At 51.0% G+C, this 24,476-nt stretch overlaps 1 protein-coding gene and 1 long non-coding RNA gene across 13 annotated transcripts, besides 2 other annotated features; one reads left to right on the forward strand and one right to left on the reverse strand.

The window, feature by feature from the left end:
* Nucleotides 277-2,392, reverse strand: LOC124905185 (uncharacterized). The gene is made up of 2 exons (XR_007068226.1): nucleotides 1,928-2,392; nucleotides 277-1,237 (listed from the first exon to the last, which is right to left on the reverse strand). It is a non-coding gene; the product is annotated as an uncharacterized LOC124905185 (long non-coding RNA).
* FTSJ1 (FtsJ RNA 2'-O-methyltransferase 1) lies at nucleotides 2,248-12,413 on the forward strand. 12 transcript variants are annotated; one of them, XR_949015.3, is made up of 14 exons: nucleotides 2,248-2,445; nucleotides 4,010-4,217; nucleotides 4,498-4,567; nucleotides 4,666-4,756; nucleotides 5,087-5,165; nucleotides 7,200-7,252; nucleotides 7,338-7,391; nucleotides 7,475-7,577; nucleotides 7,681-7,764; nucleotides 8,452-8,555; nucleotides 8,646-8,843; nucleotides 9,035-9,076; nucleotides 9,290-9,390; nucleotides 11,785-12,413. XR_949015.3 is itself a non-coding variant. In NM_001441195.1 (14 exons), the coding sequence occupies exons 3-13, from the start codon at nucleotides 4,097-4,099 to the stop codon at nucleotides 9,065-9,067; spliced, it is 990 nt and encodes a 329-aa protein (NP_001428124.1). In that variant the 5' UTR covers nucleotides 2,248-2,445; nucleotides 2,612-2,717; nucleotides 4,010-4,096; the 3' UTR covers nucleotides 9,068-9,076; nucleotides 11,785-12,399. The 12 variants fall into 12 exon arrangements, 9 of the variants coding, with proteins under 9 accessions (NP_001428124.1, NP_803188.1, NP_036412.1 ...); XR_949016.3 differs by having other exon boundaries at nucleotides 9,302-9,390; XR_007068186.1 differs by having other exon boundaries at nucleotides 8,458-8,555.
* Nucleotides 15,137-15,370: a silencer, noted in NCBI's record as "fragment chrX:48347476-48347709 (GRCh37/hg19 assembly coordinates)". NCBI's record gives its function as "represses an EF-1alpha promoter that drives an FKBP-Casp9 reporter gene in an ReSE screen in phorbol 12-myristate 13-acetate-treated (for megakaryocytic differentiation) K562 erythroleukemia cells {active_cell/tissue: K562(+PMA)}" and the evidence as "EXISTENCE:reporter gene assay evidence [ECO:0000049][PMID:32094911]".
* Nucleotides 22,646-23,166: a transcriptional cis regulatory region, noted in NCBI's record as "intergenic|chrX:48354985-48355505 region (GRCh37/hg19 assembly coordinates) targeted for CRISPR interference". NCBI's record gives its function as "negatively regulates PLP2 gene expression in K562 cells {active_cell/tissue: K562}" and the evidence as "EXISTENCE:mutant phenotype evidence [ECO:0000015][PMID:31784727]".

Genomic DNA, 24,476 nt, shown 5'->3' on the forward strand with positions numbered 1-24,476 from the left:
GGAAGCGTCCCACAGGGTGAACATGGGCCCCCAATGCCTGGCACCCCCTCCTCTCTTGTGGAGCGGAGGCCTGGTGGCTCGAACCCTTCCTTTCTCACACTCGCTCGCCTCTGCAGGGGAGTCATGTTCCCACAGTCCCACAATGCCCTTGAGTTCTGCTGACAAAGCTCTGGCTTCTTCCCTGGTTCTCAGAGTCTCTACGCCTCCACCCAGGGCTCCATAGAAATGCAGGACGCACCACTGGGGAAAAAATTAAGGAACGAAGCAACAAAAGGATGAATTCAACCAACATTTATTGAACACCAACTGTGCGCCACCCCTGTTCCAGGCACTGGGAGGCAGCAGTGAACATGACAGAACAGGAATCCCTGCCTGGTGAAGCTCGTGTGCTAAGGAATCAATCATTCTGTTTTTTTTTTTTTTCTTGAGACAGGGTCTCACTCTGTCGCCCAAGCTGGAGTGCAGTAGCACGATGTCGGCTCACTGCAACCTCCACCTCCCAGGTTCAAGTGATCCTCCCACCTTGGCCTCCTGAGTAGCTGGGACTAGAGGTGCGCATCACCACGCCCAGCTAATTTTTGTATTTTTAGTAGAGACGGGGTTGCACTATGTTGGCCAGGCTGGTCTCCAACTCCTGACCTCAAGTGATCCCCCCGCCTCGCCCTCCCAAAGTTCTGGGATTATAGGCGTGAGCCACTGCATCCAGCCCTTTTATTTTTTAAAGAGACATGGGTTCTCGCTATGTTGCCCAGACTAGATTCAAACCCCTGGGCTCCAGGGATCCTCCCACCTCAGCCTCTGGAGTAGCTGGGACTAAAGGCACATGCCGCCGCCCCTGGCTAATACTCATATGCATGTTGCCAGGATTAAAATGAATGAACAAAGGGAAGGACATGCTGGAGCCAACTTATACAGGTTGGGAGGAGCTGTTCAATTTTCAGAAATTTTGCAAACTGGTTGTTAAACAGCTGGTTTAACAACTGGTTTTGTTTGTTTGTTGAGACAGGGTCTCACTCTGTCACCCACAGTGGAGTGCAGTGGCAAGATCAAGGCTCACTGCAGCCTTGACCTCCCAGGCTCATGCAATCCTCCCACCTCAGCCTCCCAAGTAGCTGGAACTACTCGCACACACCACCACGCCCGGCTATTTTTATTATTTGTAGAGACGGGGATCTCACCATATTGCCCAGGCTGGTCTTGAAGTCCTGGACTCAAGCGATCCTTCCACCTCAGCCCCCTAAAGTTAAACAGCTATGGTTAAAAATGAAATGATATAAACTTACTCAAAACTGGTAACTTCCTAATTTTACCACATTCCACTATTCTCTATGCTCTTGAGGTCATTTACCCCCATTTTATCTGTATGGTAAAAATAATACATGATAGTGCACTACTGCATCTCTTTTAAACTCCCTGTTCAGTGACCACAGGTCGGTACCTTGAAATCTAACAAGAAGATTGTACCTAAGCCATGGAAATTGGTAAATGCTAGAAACCAGCCTCCCTTCCCCCCACCCCTCCCCGCCACCACCCCCGCCCCAGCCAGTGGTTAACCATTTACCAGCACACCACTGAGGGCATTTAGAGCCTAGCACATGGTAAACACTATGATAAACGTTTTCATTATTTTTCCGTTTGTCCACTGGGTCAGGATGTATAGTCTTTTTTTGTGTCTGGGATGGAATTTAAAATATTTGAAGATCACAGAATTACAAAAGCCCAGAGAGTGGCTAAGCTACACCTATTTAACCCTCCCAATAATGCTGTTAAGTCTATACTATTGATTATCCCCACTTTCCAGACAGGGAAACTGAAGTTCTGAGGCAGTAAAACTCAGGCAGCGCCATGCATTAGCTGTAGTGCGATCTGAAATTGCAGCCGAGCAGCCTCCGCGCGCTCGCGCACTTCAAGAACGCATTTTCCTTACTGTCACGTTTATGCCCCGAGTGGTAATTTCGCTTCCCGGCACGCGAAAAATGAATGGGCGCCATCTTGCGCGTGGCATCTTGGGAAATGTAGTTTACAGGCTCAATAACAAGCACGGTCCAAGAAGGGAGGGGCGGGGGAGCAAATCGATCTTGGCCTCGGAAGAAAAAGAACAAAGAATCGCTGGCAACTTGCGCGTCGCGTCGCTGCAGCCACGCAGTGCGTGGATTCAGCCGCTTTGGCCGTGCCCGTTGCATGCCGGGAAACGCAGTTCGCGAGCCCCGGATACGTCGACAATAGATGACGGGGCTCACGTTGTACGTTCACATCAGGTCCCGGCCCGCCGGAACCTGGGCGATCCACGATGCCGAGTTTGCCACGCTGCGACAGCCCATAGGCTTGCCCCCCCGGGCATTCGGGTGGACTACGAACACAAACTGAAGCCCTAGGACTTGTCGCCCGTTTGCGCTCTCGCCGAGGCACAGGCTGCTCGCGGACCACCCTGCTCCGAAAACTAAGGTGGGCCCTGGGGCGCGGAGGACAGGAATGCGGGCGGAGGCTATTGAGGCACGCCTGCACTGTCCCGCCTGCGGGGAAAGGAGGGAGGTCCGCCCTGGGCGCCGTAGCTGTGTATGGTTCGGGCGGCTGGCACCGGGTGGGTTCTAGACCCAAGGTTTGTCTGCAGAAGGGGACCAGTAGACGGGGTGGATTCGAGGTGGGGACATGGGACGCAGCGGTCGGAGCCGCCTGGAGGGGTACCCGGTGGTCCCGATGGAGCTATCATCTTTGAGGTATTGATGAGGAGGGACGGGGAGTGTGGTCAGAAGGCTGTTTTGGGAGGTTGGGTGGAGCGTGAGGGTGGGGTGTTACTGGGGAATCAATGGGGGCTAATAAGAATATTTTAGTCGAACTGTTGTTCATTGATTGATTAATGAGGGGATGGCAGAGTAAGCAACTAGAATATAACGAGTGATGGATGGGAAAATGATCCCCCAGGTATTGATGGAGGTATGATATTCAACGGGTTAATGGAAAGTGATGGGGCATCGTAATGGCAAGGATGATGGTGAGGTTGTGGGGGGAATAATAGATGGATGGAGGTCATGATCAAGGGGCCTTGGTGAAAGAAAAGATAATGAGAGGCTGATGGTGTTGTAGTCAGAGTCAGTAGTTGGGCTATGGTGGCATGACCGTCGAGGAATTAGGGGACAGAGTGAGTAAAGAGAGGGCAATAGTAAACTAGGGTTGGGGGGGTTAACTTCTGTTGATACATAGTAGGTGAATAGTAAACTGTTGGAGTGTGATCATCCAGTGATGGATCCATGGAGAGCAGGGTGGACAGTGAGGGGAGAATGGGGAACTGATGTGTGATCAGTTAACGTGTTTGTTAATGAAAGAGTTACAGGGCAGGAGGCTAGTGCTGTGATCTATGAAGGGTCTATTGGAGAAAACTGAGTTAATGGGGGCTGATAAATCAGTAATTGAATGCTTAATGGGGAGCTAATAGACCATGATTCTCCAGGCATTGTTAGAGGTTCATAAGGATGTAGTAATAAAGGGGCCTAATCATCTAAGGGATTAATGGCGAATGGGGTGAAACGAGAGAGATATAGGGAGTGGGAGGTACAATGAAGTAGTATTAGGATAAAGGTGGAAAACAAGGGATTAATGGGGGCTAATAGGACTATATGAATCTAGGGGCAATGGGGACAACTGGGGATACAGTCAGTGAGATTTTAATGGGCATGACATGAGCAGAGAAGGGTTGATAGTGGCAGTTGCAGGGTTTAATGTGTGGAGTGTGGGTGACAGTGATGGGAGGTGGACAGGTTCACAAGTGGGCCATCTATGGGATGAATGTTGGGTTTATGGGGTCTTTTGTGGGAACTGTGGGGTAAGTGATGGGGGCGAGGAGGGTCTGTGTGATAAGCAGTGGAGCCTGAGAGTTCAGTGATTGGGTCCTTCAGGCCCTATAAGGTCAGTGGGGTCAGTGCCAGGGCTTCAGTCAGCCCATCTTCTGTGTGAGCTGTCATGTGGGTCAGATGAGCCCAGTTTAGTTTGTGTGGTTCTCTCCGCCCTACAGAGGTAGGTGGTAGCCCATTCATCTGGTTACTGATACTGGCCGGCATCAGTGGACTGTCGGCAGGTCCTTGAGCAACTGGTGTGTGAAATGGGACGGACGTCAAAGGACAAGCGGGATGTCTACTACCGCCTGGCCAAGGAGAATGGCTGGCGTGCTCGCAGCGCCTTCAAACTGCTACAACTGGATAAGGAATTCCAACTCTTCCAAGGTCCCTGACTGGTGGGCAGGTCACTGGGCGGTGAGGTGGGCACAGGAGGTAAACAAGTAGGCTGGGTCTGCAGAGCTCCCTGTGGTAGGTGGGCTGACTCAGAGGGTCTCTGGGGCAGGGAGACAGGCAGGAAGATAGGCAGAATACCGGAGAGGAGTTGGGCACCTGGGCAATGGAGATATGTGGGTGCTCCCCAGGGGAGAGGGGTGAATTTTGCAAGGGTCTCCAGGTTGGAGAAGTGGGTGCAGCTGATCAGGATGCTTTCACTATGTATGCCCAGGCGTGACACGGGCAGTTGACCTGTGTGCAGCCCCAGGCAGCTGGAGCCAGGTGCTGAGCCAGAAGATCGGGTAAGTGTGGGGGTCCCAGATGGGAGACCCAGGAGGGCCGGCTGGGTGGGAGGGGCCCGGGAGCGAAACTAGGCTGATGTGGGCCATGTTGTCCACAGGGGCCAAGGGTCCGGCCACGTGGTGGCTGTGGACCTGCAGGCTATGGCTCCACTACCAGGTGTGGTACAGATCCAGGGGGACATCACCCAGGTAAGAGCATGGCTGAGGGTGTTGGGGTATATCCTGGGTGAAGGCCCTTACCTGGGGTCTATGCAGAGTGGAAGAGAAACAGAGAGGTGATAGAAACAGAGAGAGAAAGAGAGTGAGAGAGTAACCATGGAGAAACAGTCAGCAGGTCATCATTGCACAGACACAGCAGAAAATGATGATGCTGGGTCCCCAGAGGTGGAGCCCAGTCTTAGAGAGGCAAAGCCTGGGAATTTGGCTGACCCAGGGGCTGTGGGCCAGGACCATGGGCAGGCGGGATCTGAGGGCAGCAGTGGAGGGCCGTGGGGCCACTCATCCTCCCTCTCTCCATAGCTGTCCACTGCCAAGGAGATCATCCAGCACTTTAAGGGCTGCCCTGCGGACCTAGTGGTGTGTGACGGGGCTCCTGATGGTAAATAGCAACAGAAAGTGGGAGGCCAGGCGGGGCCCCCTGTGTGTGTCCTTCTCTGTATCTCCCACCTTGGTTGACTTATTCACCTCTTCAGTTACTCCCTGCCTCTCCCTTCCGCACTCAGCTTTCTCCCACATCTGGCAACTTCTCCCTACCTCTGCTGCCTGTTCTCTCTCTGCCTCTCTCTTCCTCCCACTTGCACCCCACCCTTTGAGTTTCATGTCTGTTGTCTACCTTTCCCTGCTCTCATCTCTCTGCAACTGTCCAATTCCGTTGCACTGTTCATTCATTTTCAGCCAGCCAGCCATTCAACACACATTTACTGAGCACCTATTGTGTTGGGAAAACATTCATGAATAAAATTCCATTAATCTTTAACCTCATGGAGCTGATGTTCTAGTGGGAGCAAATGGGAAAGAAAATAAATGATTCAGCTCTGTACCATTAAAAGGGGATGGGGCCAGGCATGGTGGCTTCCACCTGTAATCCCAGTGCTTTGGGAGGATGAGGTGAGAGGAACACTTGAGGCAGGAGTTTGAGACCAGCCTTGCAACATAGCAAGACCCTGTCTTAAAATATTAGCTGGCATGGTGATGCATGCCCATAGTCCCAGTTACTCAGGAGGCTGAGGTGGGAGGATCACTTGAGCCCAAGAGGTCGAGGTTACAGTACACTTTGATCGCACCACTGCACTCCAGCCTGGGCAACAGAGTGAGACCCTCTCTCTAAAAAAACGGGGTGAGGAGGCCGGGCACAGTGGCTCACGCCTGTAATCCCAGCACTTTGGGAGGCTGAGGTGGTCAGATCACCTGAGGTCAGGAGTTCGAGACCAGCCTGACCAATATGATGAAACCCCATCTCTACTAAAAATACAAAAATTAGCCAGGTGTGGTGGCATGTGCCTGTAATCCCAGCTACTTGGGAGGCTAAGACAGAAGAATCGCTTGAACCCGGGAGGCGGAGGTTGCAGTGAGCTGAGATCGCACCATTGCACTCCAGCCTGAGCAACAAGAGCGAAACTCCGTCTCAAAAAAAAAAGGTGGGGTGGGGGATGGGTACCATAGGGAAATCATTGAGCAGGAGGAAAGCAGGAGTACCTGTTGGAATTTTAAATCAAGTGGATGGGGAAGGCCTCACTGACTTAACAGCAGAGACTAAAGGAGGTGGGGGAGTAAGCTATGGATATGTCTGGAGGAAGAGCAATCCAGGAAAAATTGCAGCCCGTGCAAAGGTCCTGAGGCAGGAGGGTGCTTGCTATGTATGAGTAATGACAAGCAGATCACTGTGGTTGGAACAGAGTGAGGGGGGGAGAGTGGTAAAAGGTAACATCAGAGAGGTAACAGGGGACAGATCCTATAGGGCCTCGTGGGCCATGGTGAGGCTGTTGGCATTTTCACCGAGATGAGAGCTTGGAGAAAACCATGAGAGGGTTGTGAGGAGAAGAGGACTGTGCTGGGCTTGGGCTACTATGAGCTGTGTGAGGGCCAAGGGCAGAAGCAGGGGCTCCGGGGTGGAGTAGTCCAGGCAAGTGATAATGGGTGAGGGCAGTGGTGGAGAGGAGAAGATCAAGTCAGATCTTTTGAAAGTAGATGTGTTAATGGCTTCGATGTGGGTGTGAGGAGAGGATGCGGGGGGAGCATCAGAGGTGACTAAGGTTTTGGATTTGAACAATTAGAAAGCTCAGATGAGATGGGGAGGATGGTGGGAGGAGCAGGTTTGGGGAGGTAGGTCAGGAGTTTGGTTGTGGATGTATTGGAGATGTAGAATCTGATTTGTGAATCTGGAGTTCAGAGGAACAGTCTGGGCTGGAGGTGGAAATGATAATGATGCTTGTGTGTGAGGTTGTTTTAGAATTGAAATGAGTTCCTAAGGGTTAGGAGCTCAGAATATGCATCCAGTTGGCAGACAGTAATTTGCATCTGGAACCTTAGCAGTAAGACAGCCTGGAAAATGTATTTAGTGTCTGATCTGTGTGGTACAAGAAGATGCACAGAGCCAGATGGGACCCCCCTAACGCTGTTCCTCTTGCCACAGTAACCGGTCTCCATGATGTTGATGAGTATATGCAGGCCCAGCTCCTCCTAGCTGTGAGTAACCCTGGCCACCCCTGACCCACTTTGGCCCCCTCCTGGCTGTCTCCACCTCAGCCTCAGCCGTCTGTCCTGCCCACAGGCTCTGAACATTGCTACACATGTCCTGAAGCCAGGGGGCTGCTTTGTGGCCAAGGTAAGTCTCAAGGAACTTGGTGGAGTAGAGGGAGGTCGCTGAGGGCCACCCTCACCCGCTGTCTTTGCCTTCTCACCCTGCAGATATTCCGAGGCCGGGATGTGACGCTCCTCTACAGCCAGCTGCAGGTCTTCTTCTCCAGCGTGCTGTGTGCCAAGCCCAGGAGCAGCCGGAACTCTAGCATCGGTCAGTGGGGTGGAGGGGCCAGGCAGGCAGAGGGGGATCTCTGGGACGCCGACTGCACGAGGAGGAAGCGGCAGTCATGCCTCACTCCACCTTCCCCTGGCAGAGGCCTTCGCTGTCTGTCAGGGCTATGACCCTCCCGAGGGCTTCATCCCGGACCTGAGCAAACCCCTGCTGGACCATTCTTACGGTGAGAGCTGGAGCATGGGCCACCCTGGGGGACTCTGCCACACCTTATGCAATCTAGGTCCCATGAGGGCCCACAGTCTCACCCCCTGGGGGAGGCTCTGTCCCCTCATGGGAATTTTTTTCCCAAGGGGATCCTTAGCCCCATTCTCTGATGGAAATCCCACCCCTTTATGGGTATTTTGTCCCGGGAGGAGCTTCAGCCCAGGCAGTCCTCTAGTGGTAACTCTTGGGCCTGGTGAAAATTCCATCCCAGGAGGATCCTGAGCCCTGCCCCAGTGGAGACTCCACCTGCCTAAGGACATTCTCTCCTAGGAAGATCTCAGTCATGTCCCAGGTGGAAACCTCCTCGGTGTGAAACTTTTGCCCCTTAAGCCTCTAGCAGGAAGAGACAGAGCCTGCCCCTGGGATGACATTTGAGTGAGGGAGACGTCATCCAGGCAGCATATAATCCAATATCAGGTGGACATAAATGCAGTGAAAAATAGCAGGGCACCGATGTTTTAGAAGGGGTGATTATGGAGGGCCTCCCCGAGGAGGTGATCTGAACCAAATGAAGGATTTCTGGTGGGGTGGGAAGAGAGTAGCTGGTGGATATGTGGGGAGGGTTTGGCAGCCATACCGCCGCCTGTGTCATGACTGGCCCCAGGCATCCTGACCTTGTCCTCAGTTGTCTCCCCCTGTTCCTAAGACCCAGATTTCAACCAGCTGGATGGTCCCACCCGCATCATTGTGCCTTTTGTGACCTGTGGGGACCTGAGCTCCTATGATTCGGACCGCAGTTACCCACTGGACGTGAGTGCCCAACCAACAGTAGGTGGGTGGGAGGGAGGCTGTCCTAGGTTACCAGGTCCTCACCATCTCCCTACCCCTCTGTCCCTGCAGCTAGAGGGCGGCTCAGAGTACAAGTACACTCCACCCACACAGCCCCCCATCTCGCCACCATACCAGGAGGCCTGCACGTTGAAGAGGAAGGGGCAGCTGGCCAAGGAGATCCGCCCCCAGGACTGCCCCATCAGCAGAGTGGACACGTTTCCCCAGCCCCTGGCCGCCCCTCAGTGCCACACCCTGCTGGCCCCTGAGGTCTGGAAATGTGACTCTCAGCCTGCCTTGACCCCTTCCCCGTGTGCCTTTTTCTGACCCAAATCTCATGGTTTCTGGGGCCAAAATTCCCTTTCCTGCCTCCCAATAGCTATAAAAAATTGGTAAAGCCAAGCATAATGAATGGAAAAGTTTCGCCAAATATGTGAGTCACTTTTCTTTTTCTTGGGTAGATGGAAGACAATGAAATGAGTTGTTCACCTTAACCCATTACGGTAAGTTTGCCTTGTTATCTAAGAGTTTGAGTAAGGGCAACCTTTATGAAAAACCTCAGTAAAATTTCACCTTTGAAATTTTTATGTCAACTGATAAGATTTTAATCAACAAACCCTTTTCTAAACATCTGTTGTTGTATGCCAGGAACTGCTTTAAGCATTTTACATTTGAGGCATTCAGTAAACATTTATTGAGCACATACTGTATGTCAGGTGTTGTTCTAGGTTTGGAGATAGAGCAGGGAGCAAAACAGAAATATCTTGGCTCTCACAGTACTTCCAGTTTGGAAAAGAGGCAACAATCAAAACAGTCTGTAAGTGCAAGAGTTTACATACACATATATACTATATAGCTTGCATTTCTCAATTTACATATCTTGCAATATATATAATATATAAGAGTAATATGGGATATAAAAAATAGAAAAAAGTAAAGCAGGGTGAAGAGAATCAGGAATTCTAGGCATGGCAGTTTTCATCTTTTGGTGTTTTTGTTTTGAGACAAGGTCTCACTCTGTCGCCCAGGCTGGAGTTCAGTGGTGTGATTTCCCGGGCTCAAAAAATCCTCCCACCTCAGCCTCTCAAGTAGCTGGGACTACAGGCATGTACCACCATGCCTAGCAAATTTTTGTATTTTTAGGGGAGATGGAGTTTTGCCATGTTGCCCAGGCTGGTCTCGATCTACTGGGCTCGAGCGATCTGCCATCCTCGGCCTCCCAAAGTACCAGGATTACAGGCATGAGCCACTGCGCCCAGCCAGTTTGCACTTTTTAAAAGGGTTGTCATAGAAGGCCTCAGACATTCCTCAGAGGTAATGTTTGAGCAAAGACCTGAAGGCACTGCCGGAGGGAAGCCATGTGTTTATCTGAGGGAAGAGCATTCTGGGTAAAGGAAATAGGCATGTCCCAAAGGTGGAACTGCACGTGGTATGGGAGGAAAGTTTATCCATAGCCAAATGTTCTAAAACCACGATGTTAGAGGATGGCCCTTTCTGACAATGGCATAGCAGGTTATTCAGACTAAGTCAGCCATCACAAAAAGCCACCTTTTTTTTTTTCTTGAGACAGAGTCTTACTCTGTTACCCAGGCTGGAGTGCAGTGGCATGATCTCAGCTCACGGCAACCTCCATCTACCAAGTTCAAGCGATTCTCCTGCCTCAGCCTCCCAAATAGCTGGGATTACAGTGCCCGCCACTATGCATGGCTAATTTTTGTATTTTTAGTAGAGATGGGGTTTTGCCATGTTGACCAGACTGGTCTCAAACTCGTGACCTCAGGTGATCCACCTGCCTCGGCCTCCCAAAGTGTTGGGATTACAGGTGTGAGCCACCACACCTGGCCTTTTTTGTTTTGTTTTTTGTTTTGTTTTGAGAACAGAGTCTCGCTCTGTCGCCCAGGCTGGGTGGAGTGCAGTGGCACTATCTCAGCTCACTCCAACCTCCGCCTCCCGGGTTCAAGAGATTCTCCTGCCTCAGCCTCCTGAGTAGCTGGGATTACAGACGTGTGCTCCCACCTCACCCGGCTAATTTTTGTATTTTTAGTAGAGACGGGGTTTCACCATGTTGGCCAGGCTGGTCTCAAACTCCTGACCTCACAAAATCTGCCTGCCTCAGGCCTCCCAAAGTGCTGGGATTACAGGCCTGAGCCACCACACCTGGCCACAAGAAGCCACCTTAAGAAAAAATTGAAACAGCAAATCATTGTGTGAAAGAGATTTACAGTTTTTAATATTTAAAGGGTCCTGTAAATCAATAAGGAAAAACATGAGAGTGGCCAGTAAGCACATGAAAAGCTGCTCATCAGGAAAATACAAGTGAAAACTCAAAATATCAACAACACTAAGTATTTGAAAGGATATGCAGCAATTGAAAGCCTCGTACATGCTACTGGGAAGGTAAAATGGTGCAGCCACTGTGGAAACTTAGGCATTACCTACTAAAGCTGCATGTGTGCCAGTTCCACTCCTAAGAAATGAGTCCTAGAGGCCGGGTGCCGTGGCTCAACGCCTGTAATCCCAGCACTTTGGGAGGCCGAGGTGGGTGGATCACCTGAGGTCAGGAGTTCAAGACCAGCCTGACCAACATGGCAAAACCCCATCTCTACTAAAAATACAAAAATTAACCGGGCATGGTGGCGGGCACCTGTAATCCCAGCTACTCAGGAGGCTGAGGCAGGAGAATCACTTGAACCTGGGAGGTGGAGGTTGCAGTGAGCTGAGATCGTGCCACTGCACTCCAGCCTGGGTGACAGAGTCAGACTCCATCTCAAAAAAAAGGAAATGAGTCCTAGAGTGTTGCTAGCAGCACTATCTATAGTATATGCCCATTAAATCGTGGTACATTCACCGTGGAGAACTGTACAACAATGACAGTGAACATCCTGCAATTACACCAAATAACACCTTGTAGTTATTCATTAAACTGAACATATATAGGTTTTATGCATTTTCTATATGTCATGGTTCACCATAAAAGGAGGAAATGTCACAAAAATGTTAGCAGCAGAGTTAGCTAGGTGTGGTGGCACATTCCTGCCTGTAATCCCAGCTACTTGGGAGGCTGAGGTGGGAGGATCACTTGAGCTTGGGAGGTTAAGGTTGTCGTGAGCTATGATGGAGCTCCACTGCACTCCAGCCTGGGTGACAGAGCAAGACCCTGTCTCTAAAAAAACAAAACAAAACAAAAAAACTTTCTTTGACTTTTGGTTAGCTGGCAAACTGATACAACTCAGAAACTGCTCAATGTCAGGAAAACCGGAACTTGTTGATGAACTTGTTTTCAAAATATCATCTCATCAACGAGGCCTGGACAAACAAGCCCTGAGGAGGGATCTGCAACAACCCTGAAGACAACAAGGAAAGAAACCATGAAAGTCTGTCTGTACTGCAGTGGGAATTCTTGAGTGAGGTCTTACCTCTTCTTTAAACCTCTTCAGGAGTGTCCTGATTATGTCCAGAATTTTCCCTAAAGGCAGGGATTCTTAACCTGGATAGAAGCCAGGGGTAACCATGAACTTGATGGAAGAAAATGTTACATCTTTATTTTCAGCAATGAAACTGAAATTTAGCCTTACTCCCAAGTTATAAATGCTGGCAACAAATCACAGTAGTAAAAGCAGTACCTGGGATTTTCCCACCAATACAAACCAGTTACAGCAACTGTAATGTAACATAAAAAGGGCATCTTGAAGTATTGTTCATATTTGTCACCTCTTGGAATGATAGCAGATCCTGTAAGTTGATGTATTAATTAAAAAGCCCATATATTACTGCATCTCAATTTTGTTTCAATTTAATATATAGTAATAATTGTAATTCAATGTAATTGGCTTCCATTGTAATTGTGTGTGTGTGTATGTGTATGTATATACTTTTAAAAATATTCTGTGAAGGGGTTCACAGATTTAACCAGATGCCAAAGGGTTCTGCAGAACAAATTTATTTATTTATTTTGAGACAGAATTTCGCTCTGTCACCCAGGCTGGAGTGCAGTGGTGTGATCTTGGCTCACTGCAACCTCTGCCTCCTGGGTTCAAGCGATTCTCCTGCCTCAGCCTCCCGAGTAACTGGGATTACAGGCACCCGCCACCACACCCGGCTAATTTTCGTATTTTTAGTAGAGACGGGGTTTCACCATTTTGTCCAGGCTGGTCTCGAACTCCTGACCTCAGGTGATCCACCCACCTCGGCCTCCCAAAGTGCTGGGATTACATGCGTGAACCACCGCACCCAGACTTCAGAACAAATTTTTTAGGTTAAAAACCTGTCTTAAAGAAACGTCAGGGCCAGGCGTGGTGGCTCACGCCTGTAATCCCAGCACTTTGGGAGGCTGAGGCAAGCGGATCACTTGAGGTCAGGAGTTTGAGACCAGTCTGGCCAACATAGTGAAACCCGTCTCTACCAAAAATACAAAAATTAGCTGGGTGCGGTGGCACATGCCTGTAATCCCAGCTACTCAGGAGACTGAGGCAGGAGAATCACCTGAACCCGGGAGATGAAGGTTACAGTGAGCCGAGGTCGCGCCACTGCACTCCAGCCTGGACGACAGAGTGAGACTCTGTCTCAAAAAAAAAAAGCAATGTCAGAAAGTCTACCTGGACTGCAGTCCTAAATTTCTATAACTTAATGAACAGGAGCTGACAGAAACTCCCCAGCTACACGAACAGAACTGTTTTCTACAGCTTAATCCTGTGTCCTTAGAAATTCACGTACTCTGTGATCCAAGGACTATCCACGCCACAGTCCAGTGACCTCAGGAGTATCCACATACCAGTCTGCGACCCCAGCTGTTTCCACACCTGACTGTGACTCACCCCAGTTACCATGTGTGACCCCAGGAGTATGCACACTCAAGTCTGGGAAAACCATTGTCCAATCTCCAGTCAGAAATGGTGTTTAAATTCTGGAGCGTGTGTTCATAGGCATGTCTACACTCCGGTCTCTGACCACGAAAATAACCACACCCCAGTCTGTGTGACTCCAGGAATGTCCAGACCCCAGTTTGTGTCAGTCTAGGAGTGTCCACACCATGGTGACTTAACCCAGGAGTCTTCTCACCGAAGTCAGTGTGACCACAGGAATGCCCACACCCCAATCTGTGAATATGCACAGCCCAAGAATGTATGGCGGAAGTGTCCACACAAAAGGCCGTGTGACCACAGGCGTAGCCACACCCATTACAGTGCAAATTCAGCAGCGTTCACACGACAGCCTGTGAGACCTCAGGAGTGTCCTCACGCCAGGTTCTGTGAGTCCAGCAGTGGCAATGGCTTGGAGTTTCCATAGCCATCTTAGTGGTGCCATAAATGTGTAGCTCAAACGGTGACCACAGAGGAGTCCACAGCTCAGTCTGTGGTGTCCTGGGAGTGGTTTTGCCCCAGTCCAGCCACCTCAGGAGTGTCCCCACCCAAGTTTTTATGACACAAGTAATGTCCAGTTCCCAGCATATGTGACCCTGGTGTTGTCCAAACCCCATAGTCTCTGGCTATTAGTGTGTCTATACCCATCTTGACGGCCTCAGGCAGGTGCACTCCCCCATCTGTACGACCAGAAGACTATCGACTCCCCTGTCATTGTGACCACAGGAGTGTAAAACTCCAGTGCCAGTGACTACTGGTGGGTCCACATTCCAGTCTGGGTGACCCAGGGGAGGGCACAGCCCTGTCTGTGTGACCATAGGAGTCTTCACACCCCAGTGTCTGTAAACACACAGGAGTCAATTCCCCAGTCAGTGTGACCAGAGGAATGTTCACACCAAATTGTGTGACCACAGGAGTGTCCACACCTATCTGCATGTCCTGAGAGGTGTCTATACTCCAGTGGGTATGACACCAACAGTGTCCACAACAAAGTCTGTGTGACTCCAGGAGTGTCCCTCCCCCCAGTCAGTGGGAGTCTAGAAGGATCTACACCAAGTCTTGGGAGCCCAAGGGTGTCCCTTCGCCAATCTTTGTCACTCAGGGGACATTCACCCCCCAGTCACACAGACGAAGCATATCCACAGCTGGGTCTGTGTGACCCCAGCAGAGTCTACTTCACAAGTCGTGTAACCACAGGAGTGTCCCCAGACGAACCTATGGGAATCCAGGAGTGTCCACATCACAGTCACTTGACCACAGTGGTGCTGACTTCCCAGTTTATGTATCCTTAGCCATGTCCTTTTTCCAGACTGTGTGACCCTAAGTGTCCACACCCCAAACTCGGTGATCCAAGTCACTCCAGTCTGCGTGACTCCAGTGTTGCCCACACACCAATCTGTATGACCCTAAGAGAACACATCCCGGTCTGTGATGCTTCAGCAGTGGCCACACCCTACTCTGTGTGACCCCAGAAGTGGCTACACCACAATCAGCATGACCTCAGGATTTCTTACTCCAAAATCTAGTAACATCATGAGTGTCTACACCCTCACCTGTGTGATTCCAAGAGGATCCACACCCCAGGCTGTGTGACCCTGGGAAGGTCCCTATAGCAGTCAGTGTAAACCTGGGAGTGCACTCTTCCCTGTCAGTGTGAGCTGGGAGGGTGTATCTAGAGGAAGAGTGATCCAGGGAAAGGCGAAGGGCCGGATGTGGTGGCTCACACCTGTAATCCCAACACTTTGGGAGGCCAAGGTGGGTGGATCACCTGAGGTCAGGGGTTTGAGACCAGCCTGGGCAACATGGTGAAACCCCGTCTCTACTAAAAATACAAAAATTAGCCAGGCGTGGTGGCACATACCTGTAATCCCAGCTACTTGGGAGGCTGAGGCAGGAGAATCACTTGAACCTGGGAGGCGGAGGTTGCAGTGAGCTGAGGTTGTGCCACTGCACTCCAGCCTGGGTGATAGGCCAAGACTCTGTCTCAAAAAAAAGAAAGAAAGGCAAGGGCCCTGAGGCAATGGCCCTGAGGTGCCTGGCACATTTGAAGAACAGGCCAGTGGGGCAGGAGCAGAGTGAACAAGGAGCCAGTGGCGGGCGGTGAGGTCAAGGAGGGCCCGGAGGGCCTCGTGGGCCACGGAGAGGACTTTGGCTTTTTCTCTGAGAGAGATGAGAGCCATGGCAGGGCTCCGAGCAGAGGAGGGCCCCGGGCTGACTTGGGTTGCAACAGGATCCCTCTGGCTGCTGTGGTGGCGGCTACTCAACTGTTATTGTTTGTCAAAACTCAGAGAACTGTATGCCAAAAGGGTGAACTTTATCGTATGTAAATTATAACTCTTTACATTTAAGTTATAACTTTTGGAAAATGTGCAGTACTGGCCAGGCATGGTGGCTCATGCCTGTAATCCCAGCACTTTGGGAGGCTGAGGTGGGAGGATCGTTTTAGCCTGGGAGATTGAGGCGGCAGTGAGCTGAGATCATGCTGCTGCCCTCCAGCCTGGACAACAGAGCAAGACCCTGTTTTGAAGAAAAAACAAAAAACAAAACAAAACAAAAAAAGTGCAGTACTTTGCAAGCAATAAAGATTTCTATTTCTGCAAGAGAGGCTGTGCTCATGCCTGTCCTTACCCCTCTCCTTCCTGCACAAACACATCTCAGGAATGCACCTGAGGAAAAGGAGGGAGCCGGGGCCTCCCTCAACTGCTCAAGGTAGTGCTCCCTTTGTTGTCTGCTGTGAACTGAATTGTGAATTCAGCAAATTCCTTTGTTGAAGCTTTAATCCTCAATGTGACTGTATTTGGAGATGGGGGTAATTAAGATTAAATGAGGCCATAAGGGCAGGGTCCTAATCTGATAGAACCGGTGTCCTCATTAGAGAGGGAAGAGATGCCTGAGCTCCCTCCCTCTCTCCCTGTGGGCGCACAAAGGAAAAGCCACATGAGGACAGAGAAAGAAGGTGGCTGTCTACGAGCCAGAAAGAGAAGCCTCACCAGAAACCAACCCTACCGGCACCTTGATCTTGAACTTCCAGCCTCCAGAACTGTGAGAAAATAAACGTCTGTGGTTTAAGCCACCCAGTCTGAGGTATTTTGTTAAGGCAGTCTGAGCAGCTAATTGGCTCTCAGTTTCAAGGCTGATTTCAAGAGACTCGTGTTGGCCAGGTATGAGGGGAGCCAGTGCTCAAGTGAAGGAAGGAAAATTCAGCACATCCTCCTCGTCTAGCTGAAGGGGGCTCTGGAGCAGCAGGAGGGGCCCAGGGCAAGCCTGGAATGAAATCCGTGGCACTCCTGCAGGTTCTGGGGGCGGTGTCCATGGAATATCCTCTGCCACATAACAAAATGACTAATAATTGCTTGGGGAGCTTTCAGAACTGCCCCAAGGCTTCCTCTAACACTCCACCCACACCTGGTTCATGCCAGGTTGCTCGATGCCTTGGTTCGGGAGAATAGGTGTGGTGTCATCTCAGGCTTGGTGGCAGCCCAAGGGAAGGGGCAAGTGTTCTGAGTCTCTCTAGATGACACAGGAGCTGAGGAAAGCTGGAGTGAATTATGAGTCACAGCCCGTACCTCACAAGAAAGTTCTGCCCGATGCCAGAGCTGGGAGCCATCACCAGTTATGCAGGGTTGGTGGAGAAGAGCCTCGGGATAATTGGTATGCATGCCCGCACATAGGTGTGTGCGTACCAGTACGTGTGAAGTTATGCAGGAGTGCGTGGTGTGCTTATGCCCATGTGTGTGCACATTAGTCCTTTTGTGCATGCATGCATACATGGCACATGTGTGTGCATTCATGCTTTGCTGTTTTGAATGCAGGTATGGTTATAAGTGCATATGGGCAACAGAAGTTCAAGTGTGAATTCTCATGGAGATGCTAGGGTGTAGCAGGCACATGGGGACCTGTTCCCTGACAGGGGTGTTTGTGAAAAGCAACTGTGCATATGTGTGAGGGTGTACTTATATATGAGATTCTATGTGCAAAGCCCTATGTCCGTGGGTGCTAGCCTGAGTGTTTGTGTCTGTGTATATACATGTGTATGCCAGCGTGCACATGCATGGCTGTGTGTGAGTGCGTAAGTGAAGGGGAGCACATTGGCCCAAGCTGGTAAGTCTAGTATCTATGCATGTATACCCCTGGGCACCGCCCCCCCCGCCCCGTGCAAGTGTGAGTGAACAGGTACACAAGGGCCTGGGCGTAGATGTCTGTGCACATGTACGTGGGCATGCTGTATGCATGGCTGCAGGGATTTCCCACGTGTGTGTGTGCACAGATGCACAAGTGCCCAGGAACCTAGATTGTGGTGTCTGTACACATGTACCTCTGGGCACCATGCATGTGTGTGTGCAAAAGTGCAAGTGTGCCTATGGGCTCAGGTCTGGCTGTCTGTGTACATATACCCCCTGGATGCCCATAAAGGTGTGAGTGTGTACTGCAGGTGCATATTTGTCCGTGGGCCTCAGTCTGGGTATTTGTGAACATATAACCTGTGTGAACGTGCATGGGTGTGTGGATGTGATCAGGTGTGCCCATGGACCCAGGCCTCGGTGTCTGTGTACAGGTACCTCAGGGTGCCCGTGTGTGTGTGTGTGTGTGTGTGTGTGTGCGCGTGTGTGTGTGCATGTGCATGTGTGTATGTGTGCATGTGTAACTCTGGAGGTCCATGCATGTGTGTGCGCATGGCTTCAAGTGTGTCCAAGGACCTGGGTCTGGGCATGTGTGTACATGTATCCCTAGGAACCCATGCATGAGTATGCTCACGTGTTCAGCGGTGCCAATGGCCTTGGATCTTGGTGTCTGTGTATGTGTACCCTTGGGGGACCACAGATGGCATTCATGCATGCATATGTAGCACCATGGAGGGATCTGTGTGCAGATTTACCTCTACCTACACCTGGCTGGGGATCATAAAGAAAATCAAGGGATGCGCTACCTCCATGAATCCAGGTTTCAGCAGAGCTAAGGGAGTGAAATTTGGGGCCATTTTACTTGTCTCAAACCTTGTTATCTGAGAGAAAGCTAGAGCTTCCTTCTTTCAGCCCCCAGAGACAATGTGGCCAGGCTCCGGAGGGCTGGGAAGATGAGCAATGCTTGTGAGTCACCATGATAGGAAGCAGAAGGGTCAGGAAGTCCCTGGGAGCAAGGCTTAGGGTTAGGGTTAGGGAGAAAACACTTGGGCCTGGAGGCTCGGGGCAGGCTTCCTAGAGGGGAGGGGTAGGAAGAGGCAGTGACAGGGCCCACAGCAATGGAGAGGAGTTGGACTGCAGGGATGGGGTAGGGGGACAGACGACAAGGGACACTCAGAAGACTAATGTCTGGGAGTGGGAAAACAGTGTTTGCTCAGCCAGGAAGCTGCATCCAGCTCTTTTATCATTTGTAGAAGACCAAGTACCCAGGCCTGGGAGGAGCCCAGAGATGAACCAGAGTTTGGAGCTGGGGGCGGGGGTAGTTCTCTCTGTCCCTGTAACAGGCAGTTTAGGCTTAAAGAGCTGTCCAGGCTGGGCGCAGTGGCTCACGCCTGTAATCCCAGCACTTTGGGAGGCCGAGGCAGGCGGATCACCTGAGGTTGGGAGTTCAAGACCAGCCTGACCAACATGGAGAGACCCCCGTCCCTACTAAAAATACAAAATTAGGCAGGCGCAGTGGCACATGTCTGTAATCCCAGCTACTTGGGAGGCTGAGGCAGAAGAATTGCTTGAACCCGGGAGGAGGAGACTGCATTGAGCCGAGATCACGCTATTACACTCCAGCCTGGGCAACAAGAGTGAAACTCTGTCTCAAAAAAAAAAAGAAAGAACTGTCCAGGATTCCACGGGCCCCTGGGGCCCAGGGTAAGCTGCCTCCCCTTTCTGGGCCTCGGTCTTCTCCATTGTCACATGGCCTGCCTGTCTGCAGCCCAGGCCCCGGGAAGCATTTAGCCTGAGAGAGGAGCCCATGGACAGTGGGCAGGCAGCTGGCTGCTCCCCAAGATTGGGCCACCCTCCTGCTCCTCTGCCACTTCAGAGTCTTTACACCCTGCCCCAGAGGCAAAGCTTGGAAATGGGCTGGGGGAGCCATGGCCACAGGCCAGTCAGCATGGGGGAAGCCTGGTGGGGTTGAAACCCTGGGCTAGGAGGGGGCACGTCCATCACGAACCCTGGTCCCCCACCAACCCACCCGACCATAGCAGGGGAGGCACAGGAACCCACAACCTTCCTCCTGACCCCAGCTGGAGAAGGATGTTGCTGCTCCTGAATTCCAAGCTGGCCCAGATGTAGAGTGGTCCCCCAAGGGTATACTTGCACAGACACCAAGATCCAAGCCCATTGGCACAGCTGAAAACATGAGCATTCCCATGCATGGGCCCCTAGGGGTACATGGACACAAATCTCCCCTTCCAGTCATGGCACCCCAGTCCTGATCAGCTTCACCCCAAAAAGCTCCCAGGTGCGGAGTCAAGACCTTCTTGTGCCCCCACTTCAACCCCAAGCCAATGGCTTCTTTTTTTTTTTTTTTTTCCAGAGACTGGGGTGGAGGGGTTTCACTCTGTCACCCAGGCTGGAATGCAGTGGCACAATCATAGCTCACTGCAGCCTTGATCTCACAACTGATCCTCCGTCCTCAGCTACTGGTGCGAGCTACCACGCCTGGCTCTGAGCCAATGGCTTTCTTTTAGATCCTCCAGAAGGTCAACAATACTGACTGCAGAACGCCAGGCAGCCACAGGCCACTGGGCACAGTTGTGCAGGCTGTGCTCTAACAAAAGTTGCCTGGCCACAGAGGACACTGGGAGCAGGAATGCACCCTGGGCTCCTCTAGCATCACTGGGGCCTGGCCTGGGGCCGCGTCCATCAGGAGGAAGGGGCATCCTTTTCTAAAGTTCACGCAGGCATTATGTGAGCTAGTGGCGCCCCTCAGTGTCCAGGTTTTTAAAGGCAAAGGAAATCTGGACATGCGCAGAAAGTGAACATGGCCCCAGAGCCAGGCATACCTTCACCCGGGATGTCTCTGAGCTGGAAAAAAATACTCAGCCATTGTCTAGCGCAGCCCTATGCTTATCAGGAAAAATTGTAAAAAACTTTTAAATGGACAAAACTATTCCCCAGGTGTCCTTTCAATGGAACACTGGATGTGGTCTACCCAAGCCCCTTATGGCGTATCTGATTCTATAGCGGGCTGCACTTTTGTCTTTGGCTGGGCCATTTTGCACCTCTGTAGAGAGAAGTTAACCTGTGCAGGACTGATAATTCCCATCCATAATAAATGAATTTTGTCCTGTAGAGATACAGCTGATCTCTATCCTGTAGAAAAAGATTATTCCAGATATTATATTGCATCTATTGGCAAATCCATTGCAGTATCTCTGGGAGTTTATATATGCTTGTTCTTCAGATTCTCCTCTGAGCCTAGTGTAACATATTACCAGTTCCCTCATTCATAAATGATCTGGGCCAGGCATGGTGGCTCATGCTTGTAATCTCAACACTTTGGGAGGCCGAGGCGGGTGGATCACTTCAGCCCAGGAGTTCAAGAGCAGCCTGGGCCACAAGGCAAAACCCTGTCTCTACAAAAAGTACAAAAATTAGCTGGGAGTGGTGGTGAGCGTGTGTAGTCCCAGCTACTCAGGAGGCTGAGGTGGGAGGATCATCTGATGCCAGGGAGGTCAAGGTCTGCAGTAAGCTGTGATTGCACCACTGCACTCCAGCCTGGGCGACAGAGTGAGACTCTGTCTCAAAAATAAATAAATAAATGATCTAAAAATCCTTGACACATGTTCACTTTATATTTGTAGGAGTCGTGATGTTACCATTTTGGAAATAATTTTTTAATTGCATCTACCAGCTCACAGTACAGATGAGATCACCAAGCTGGGGGAGAAGGGACTTGCTTGAAGTGACCCTCATGGACTGGGACTGGAAGGCAGAGCTGAACTCAAGCTACTCTGGGTGCTGCCCTGCTCCTGGAAGGAGGGGGATATGCTGTGCCCAGGTGTGGAATGGAATGGAGGGCTGTGACACACCTCCACCATGGGGATATGGAGTGACCTTCTGAGATGAGGGGGTCATCTGTCAGGTCCCACCCTCTGTGCTGTGCCTTGATTCAGACCCACGACACAACCAGCCGTCCACCCCACCCCAGGTGGTCCTGGCCAGGGGAAGTGCTGAAATGCCCCCATTGCCATCCTGAACTGCTATGCTGGTGATGACCATAGGAAAGCTTTATTCTAGGTATACTATTTCAACTGCTGGGCCCCAGCTTCCTTATCTATAAAATGTAGTTAGTTCCGGTTCCTGCCTTATATGATGTGGAGAAGATTAAATGAGATTATGGACACGAAGCTCTTCAAATTGCCCGGCACAGAGTAAACGCTCAATATTTATCAGCTGTTAGTCATTAGGTCTGTTTGACTTGCAGAACTTCCAGTGGTGGACATTTTTGAAGGGATGCTTGGGGCCCCCTCGAGATGCTGGCCTAGCAGGACCCAGCTGCTCCATCCTTGGATGAAACACCCAACAAGTGTTCCCCGGGTGATGGATCAGGAAACTCAGACTCCTGGCCAGGGAAAACAGGCCTGACCTGCTCTCTGGAACCCCCATGTTGCCATCCAGGAGATCCTGAAGCCCAAGGCACAAATGAGGAGGAGCACAAGGAGTGGTGAGTTCTTGACAGGAAATGGTGGGGTGCCCTAGGAGAAATCACCTCTTAGGGTCTCGGTTTCCCCATCTGTACAATGGGCACTTCGGAGCTGTGAGTTGCTGAGGACCTTTGCAGCCGCCTTTTGGGGAAGAACAAATGTTCTCCAAGGGTGTAACGGCTGGAGGCTGACCCTTTCCCAGCCCAGGCCCTGCCATTAGAGACAAAGTACACCAGACACAAAGGGAAAACCCAGTCCCCGCCACACAAAGGCAAAACCCAGTCCCCGCCACAGCATAGGAAGCTGCCCAGCAAGTTGAGAGTCAAGTTGCCCAAGTTTTGTGGCCAGTGAAGGGGAGGTTTGCAGCCAGACCACTCCTGAGGCCTACCTGGGGAACTTGTGGGGGTTGGGTTGGGGGGATGGACTCAGTGGCCTCTGGGGTCCCTTCCAGTCCAGACTCTCCTCTGTGGCTGGCATGCTCTGACCTCAGAGGTCCAATCTGCAAAATGGGACGATAACCCCATGTGGGCTGAGAGGGCAGGAAGGTGGATGTATTCTTCAGGGTTCTGTGAGTTGTAAGTGGCAGACACTCCAGTCAAACCAGCTTAAGGTAAAAGGGAATAATTACTCAGGTAATGGAAGAGACCTGGGACAGAGTGAGCTTTGGCCATGCACAGCGTGTCTGAGGACTCTCTCTCTCTGTCCAGGAGGTCTGATTTATCTTTGAGAGCTTGGCCCTCGGCAGGCTCTCCCAGGTGGTGGCTGCCTCGCCTATCCCTAAACAGCAAGGAGTCCCAGAGGACAGCAAAGCCTCTTTCCCTTCAGTTCCAGCTTTAGATCATGTGGCCTGGCTTGAGTCACACCCATTCCTGACCCTGTGGTCACAATGACAGATTGCTCTGATTGGCTGGTCTAGTCATGAGTCCACTCCTGAAGATATAGGTGGGAGCAGGGAGGTGGGGGAGTTAGCCCCACAAGAACAACATGCACTGGAGTGAGGTGAGGAGGAAGGGGGTTGCTAAAAGAAAATGGAGGTCCAGCCGGGTGTGTTGGTTCACACCTGTAATCCCAGCACTCTGGGAGTCTGAGGCGGGCGGATCACAAGGTCAGGAGTTTAAGACCAGCCTGGCCAACATGGTGAAACCCCATCTCTACTAAAAATACAAAATTAGCCAGGCGTGGTGGCACGCGCCTGTAATCCCAGCTACATGGGAGACTGAGGCAGAAGAATTGCTTGAACCCGGGAGGCAGAGGTTGCGGTGAGCCAAGATCATGCCACTGCACTCCAGCCTGGGTGACAGAGCGAGACTGCATCTCAAAAAGAAAAAAAAAAGAAAAAAAAGAAAATGGAGGTCAGACATGATGGTTCACATGTGTAATCCGAGAACACTGGGAGGCTGACTTGAGGCCAGGAGTTCAAAACCAGCCTAGACAACATAGTGAAACCCCGTCTCTACAAAAAATACAAAAATTAGCTTGGTGTGGTGGTGCATGCCTGTAGTCCCAGCTACTTGGGAGGCTGATCTCTTGAGCCCTGGAGTGAGAGGCTGCACCTCTCACTCCACTGCACTCCAGCCTGGGTGACAGAATGAGACCCTGTCTCAAAAAAAAAAGAAAAGAAAAGAAAGAAAGAAAGAAGGTGGTCTTTCATAGAAGAGGAAAGAGGTGCTGAGTTGGTAAAAGGAATGCCTGCCCAATACAGTAGGCCACCGCTGAATCCTTAAGTAAAACCACTGGCAGCCTTAGTCCCTCTCTGCCTACCACTTTCAGGTGCTCAGCTTTATGCTGTAAAGTTACCCCATCACTCCTAAACTCGGAAATTCTGCCTCCCATGACAGATTAAAAGGCAATTTATACTAAAATGTCAATGACTACCAGATTCTGAAGAAGGCAAAGCCTCACTGGATGTGACTTAATCTTCTAGTGAGATTTAGGGCCGTGTGGCAAAAGGATGGGGAGATGTCAGGGAGTGTGCCAAGTACTCAATGGACCAGGCAGCTCAAAGGCAGCCCCGGGAGGAGAGAGCAACCTCCTTCCCATGTTCTGTCTCCATTCAGAGCAGATGGCCCTCCCAGGCGCATCTGAGCTCCCGGCTCTTCTGCTCCCCTCCTCTGAGGGACCTGTCTGTCTAGCTATCAGCCTGTCAGTTCAGCTCTGCTGCAAAGCTGTTGTGTAGGTGTATATTCATCGAGTGTCTGTTCCTAACACTGATTTCTTGGCAGAGAGAAGTCAGTTCATCCAACCATTAAGGATGAGTTCTGTGTGAGAGGGTCAGAGAAGAGGATTGGGAAGCAGATGGAGCAGGTTAGAACATTAGAATTGTTATCAACCCGCTCTTTCTTGTAGATACCCACAGTTCATCTACTCAACCACTCACTTAGCCTTGCGCCCATTCATCCACCCATGATTCACCCACTTACCCACTATTCATTCATC

This window comes from Homo sapiens, chromosome X (assembly GCF_000001405.40).
Source record: "Homo sapiens chromosome X, GRCh38.p14 Primary Assembly".
Classification (NCBI taxonomy): Eukaryota; Metazoa; Chordata; class Mammalia; order Primates; family Hominidae; genus Homo; species Homo sapiens.

Coding starts and splice junctions, on each gene's coding strand:
- FTSJ1 (NM_001441198.1), top strand. CDS start 4,097: ATGGGACGGACGTCAAAGGACAAGCGGGATGTCTACTACCGCCTGGCC. Junction 4,218..4,497: donor GGAATTCCAACTCTTCCAAG/GTCCCTGACTGG, acceptor ATGTATGCCCAG/GCGTGACACGGGCAGTTGAC. Junction 7,253..7,337: donor AGGCCCAGCTCCTCCTAGCT/GTGAGTAACCCT, acceptor TCCTGCCCACAG/GCTCTGAACATTGCTACACA.